A 4,380-nucleotide genomic window follows, 5' to 3' on the forward strand; every position below is an offset into this window, starting at 1 on the left:
GGCTCACGCCTGTAATCCCAGCATTTTGGGAGGCCAAGGCGGGCAGATCATTTGAGGTCAGGAGTTGGAGACCAGCCTGGCCAACATGGTGAAACCCCGTCTCTACTGAAAATACAAACATTAGCCGGGCGTGGTGGCGGGCGCCTGTAATCTCAGCTACTCGGGAGGCTGAGGTAGGAGAATCGCTTAACCTGGGAGGCGAAGGTTGTGGTGAGCCAAGGTCCTGCCACTGCACTTCATTCTGTGCTACAGAGCAAGACTCCATCTAAAAAACAAAACAACAACAACAAAAAAAGTTAAAGAAATAGGTGGAATTAATTTTTGTATGTTATCTAGCCAAATATATCTTATATCTGAAATATTATCATTTCTTTTTTTCTTTTTTTTTTGAGACAGAGTTTCATTCTTGTTGCCCAGGCTGGAGTAAAATGGAGCAATCTCAGCTCACTGCAACCTTTGCCTCCCAGGTTCAGGCGATTCTCCTGCCTCAGCCTCCCAAATAACTGGGATTACAGGTACACGCCACCATGCCCACCTAATTTTTGTATTTTTAGTAGAGACAGGGTTTCACCATGTTAGCCAGGCTGGTCTCAAACTCCTGACCTCAGGTGATCTACTGACCTCAGCCTCCCAAAGCTCTGGGATTACAGGTGTGAGCCACCACGCCCAACCTCTAATATTATCATTTCAAAGTGTAATCGATGTAAAAATTTAAGGTCATTTTTTTCATATTATGTTTTCAAAATCCAGTGTGTTGTTTATACTTACAGCACATCTCAATTCAGATGAGCCCTATTTCAAGTGCCCAGTAGCCCCCAGAGAATGCAAGTTCTGAAGAAAATCACTCATATGAGCTCAGGAAAGGAATGCCACAATTGATCAGCAATGCCTGCTCCAGGCATAGGCTACAGCTGAATCAAGCTGCAAGCCATGTGTTTCCCCACCATGATATAGGCTCAGCCCCAAAGGACGTGTTCACCTCTACCTAAGCCCTTCTGAGCTCATTTATTTTGCCCAACTTGAAAGAACTGCCAGAGTTCTGGGACCTTGACTTGGTTCGAGTGCAGCGGTTCTGGTGTGAACACCACCCTACAGAAACGCCCCAGCATACTAACAGGGCCAGCGCCTCCCGAGTGTGGTTCTGTGCTCCTTCCCTTGGTGGGGGCTGACTCATGGCCATTGGTGACCCTGAGAATGTGGATTTTGTTTTTGTTTTTCTCCCAAGGTCTCTTCCTCCCAGAGTTAACCAATATTGAGATAAAAGTGTTTCCGAGCCAGATTTAGCCATTTCAGCCCCATTCCACTGGCCCAAGCCTACAGACCTCCTGTCTGGCACTGTAGCCAGGATGGCTGCACTTTCTTTTCCAGTAAGCAGAAGGCTAAAATTGGACCATTTAAGGAGCTAGAAACACCTGGAAATGGTGAGGAGTGGGTCTTTGGTGTAAGAGATGGGGTGTAAGAAAACACGGATCTCAGGCTCCCATTATCCTCACCATTATTATCATTATCATCTACCCCACCCCTGCTCAAAATCCTTCAATTGCTCCCTAGTGTCTGCAGGATAAAGATCTTGCTTTAGTTCCCAGGATCGGGAACTGCTGGAGTCATCCAGTCTCACCTCTAGATACTCTCCCTTCTCTCATCTTATTCATTCATTCAGTAAGAATGTCCTGAGCACCTAATATGTGCCAGGCACTGTTCTAGGTACTAGAGATACAGCTGTGAACAAAACTGCCAAGGATTTCTGGCTTCATGGAGCTCACTTTACTCCAGCGAGCCCATAACACCCCAGGCCCTCTCACACTCCCAGGCCTTTGTAAATGCTGTTCCCTCTCCATTCAGTCACTCTCCTCCTGGGGAACTTCTACACATCCTCTAAGGCCCTACTCAAAGCCTTCCCTGAGCACTCCGCTCAATGGGTTAGGTTCCTCCTCTGAGCTCCCACCTCCCACCTAGGACCGTCACACGTATGGTCACTGTCCAGCCCACAGCCCTTCCCTACCAGGCTTTAAGTGTCTCCAGGGCAGGGGCTGTGCCTTCTCCCCCAGGGACCCCAGAGCTTGCTTCCAGGTGCACCCTCCCAAAGATCAGGAGTGAACAGGCTGAGGCATTAGTGTAGGGGGGATCCAGGATTCCTCTGGAGAATTCCATGTCATTCTGAAATCTTTGCCTGGGAGCATCTTCCTCCTGGCATTCCAGGGGAGGGAATCACAGGAGCAAATGCAGAGCGGTTCCAGCAAAGGAAGGTAGAAGTCTGAGGAGAGATGGGAAGGGTATGATTTGATGTAGCAGAGAGACAAGAGGACAGCAGCCTTCCCTCGGGGAGAGAGGATGACAGGACATGTGGATGGGGGATAAACCGTAATGACTCTACATTCCTAAAGTGGGAGGGAGGCAGAACGAAATCTGCAGTTCCCTGCTGCCTTCCCCAGGAGAGCTGAGCTTTCAGTCTCGTCCCTCTTCCTCCTCCCCAACGAGAATGCACAAGAGAGGGGAGAAGGATGGGCCTGGTTCCTGCCCCTGGCCTGGCTCTGGTCCCTGGCCTGGCCCTCAAGAAGCCAGTGCTGGGACTGTGGATATCGTGTGGTTATGGCTAGAGCAGATCCTCCCACCACCCGGGCCCAGCCTAACCGTCCTGCCCACACACCGCCAGCTAGAGGCCTGCTGTGCTGCTTGTCCATTGGGGAAAACAGGGCAGGAGGCTTGTGCCTGGCTGGCCTCATCCCTGCCAGCTCATTTACATGGAATTTACACGGGCTCATTTCATGCCTTAATGCACACGGCTTCCCTCCCAGCCCAGCCTCTCCTGGTGCCTCCACAGAGACAATGGAGTGGGTTCCATCACTCAAATCCCCTGCCATGGACCCATCAGAGCACCAGGAGCATCTCTGGAAAGAGGGAGGCTGCTGAGGCCCAGAGAGGACAGGGAACTCAGTGGAGACCACCAGCAGCACTCCAGGAGGGACCAAGGCTTAAGCCCACACTTTGTCCACTCGCCGCTCAGACCATTTGGGGCTGGAATTCACTCCCATCCTTTGCTTTGCCACCAGCCTCCAGCTTGCTGAGCAGGAGCCTGTGAAACCCCCATCCTGATGCCGATGCTTGGCTGTGCACTGGAATACAGACGGACTGGGACAGACGAGATGTGCAGGAAAGGGTCCACAGAAGCCCAGGTCCAGCCCTGCCTTTTACACAGGAGAGAAATGAGGCTCGGGAAAGGCGAGGGTCTGCCCAGGACCACAAACGCCAAAAATGGTGGCAGCAGCCCCAGGTCTCTGCCCCAGCTGCCCAGGGCTCTTCTGGGTCCCCCAAACTCCCAAAGACCCCTGGTCCCATGTACCTGCTGAGACCTTGGTCCCCCAGGGCATGCCGAGTGTTGGGGGAGAAAAGGATGGGGAGAATCCTCAGGAATGGGCTGGCTATGAGAGTGCAGAGCAAACTGAAGTGGGAGGGAGCACTATGGGTGGGGGCAATTCCAGTCCTGTGGGGTTTGCCAGAGCCAACCAGAAGCTGGGCTCGGACAGAGAAGTAAACTGCCCCAAGTCTGCCATGGACCCCTCCAGCAGTCACTGCTCAGGAAAAACGCCTAGCAGACCCCAAAGGCCTAGGTCCTTGCCTCCAGGGACAGGGGACAGAGAAGGGAACAAGGGGGAGGGGAGGCCTCTGGGCTTCTATCTGGACTTCTATCTGCAGTGCTCCCTACTGTCCCTGCCCTTCATCCCAGGACCACTGCTCTCATCCTGACCTCCACCCGCCACCAGACAGCCTCCTAACTAACTCCCCTGCATCCTTCCACCCCAGCCTCAGAGGCTCCTTCCTGCATAAACTTCTGTGTTCTAAAACCTATTTACTTGATCTTGGAGGGAGTCCTGAGTTTCTACAACTCAAATCCTACCTCATCACTCATAAACCCTCCCCACAGGTCCCTCCCTACTCTCCAACCCTCACCCAGACCCCTACCCTGCCTGGAGCAAATCCCATTCCCACATCTCTTCAGCCGGCACCAGCCTCCTGCACACACACTCAAGGCCACAGCATCCCACAGGGTCGCATTTGATCAGCTTGCCCTCCAGAACTGCCCCTTGAAGGCAGGGAGTCCTGAGGCTGTTTCTAGCATGACCCAGGCCAGGCCTTCCAGGGGGAAGTGGTGGGAGGTGAAGGCTGGGAATGGGGAAAAGGGGTGCACGTGCTATTGGGGCTCTGGGGTCAAGGCTCGAGCAAGCAGCACGCTGCTGAGGAGTCGTGGGTTCAGGTCCCCATTCCTGCCTCTCACTAGCTACAGCCCTGCTGAGCTGGCTCCTGGGCCCTAACCAGGACATGAAAGAATGCATGTGATGCTCACGCAGCCAGGGGGTGGCGAGTAATAAACAGGAGCCCCCA

At 53.2% G+C, this 4,380-nt stretch overlaps 3 annotated features.

Annotated features, from left to right (window-relative positions):
* Positions 902–951: an enhancer, noted in NCBI's record as "active region_9769". NCBI's record gives its function as "activates an Ori minimal core promoter by ATAC-STARR-seq in GM12878 lymphoblastoid cells {active_cell/tissue: GM12878}" and the evidence as "EXISTENCE:reporter gene assay evidence [ECO:0000049][PMID:35858748]".
* Positions 972–1,041: an enhancer, noted in NCBI's record as "active region_9770". NCBI's record gives its function as "activates an Ori minimal core promoter by ATAC-STARR-seq in GM12878 lymphoblastoid cells {active_cell/tissue: GM12878}" and the evidence as "EXISTENCE:reporter gene assay evidence [ECO:0000049][PMID:35858748]".
* Positions 1,062–1,161: an enhancer, noted in NCBI's record as "active region_9771". NCBI's record gives its function as "activates an Ori minimal core promoter by ATAC-STARR-seq in GM12878 lymphoblastoid cells {active_cell/tissue: GM12878}" and the evidence as "EXISTENCE:reporter gene assay evidence [ECO:0000049][PMID:35858748]".

This window comes from Homo sapiens, chromosome 15, assembly GCF_000001405.40.
Source record: "Homo sapiens chromosome 15, GRCh38.p14 Primary Assembly".
Classification (NCBI taxonomy): Eukaryota; Metazoa; Chordata; class Mammalia; order Primates; family Hominidae; genus Homo; species Homo sapiens.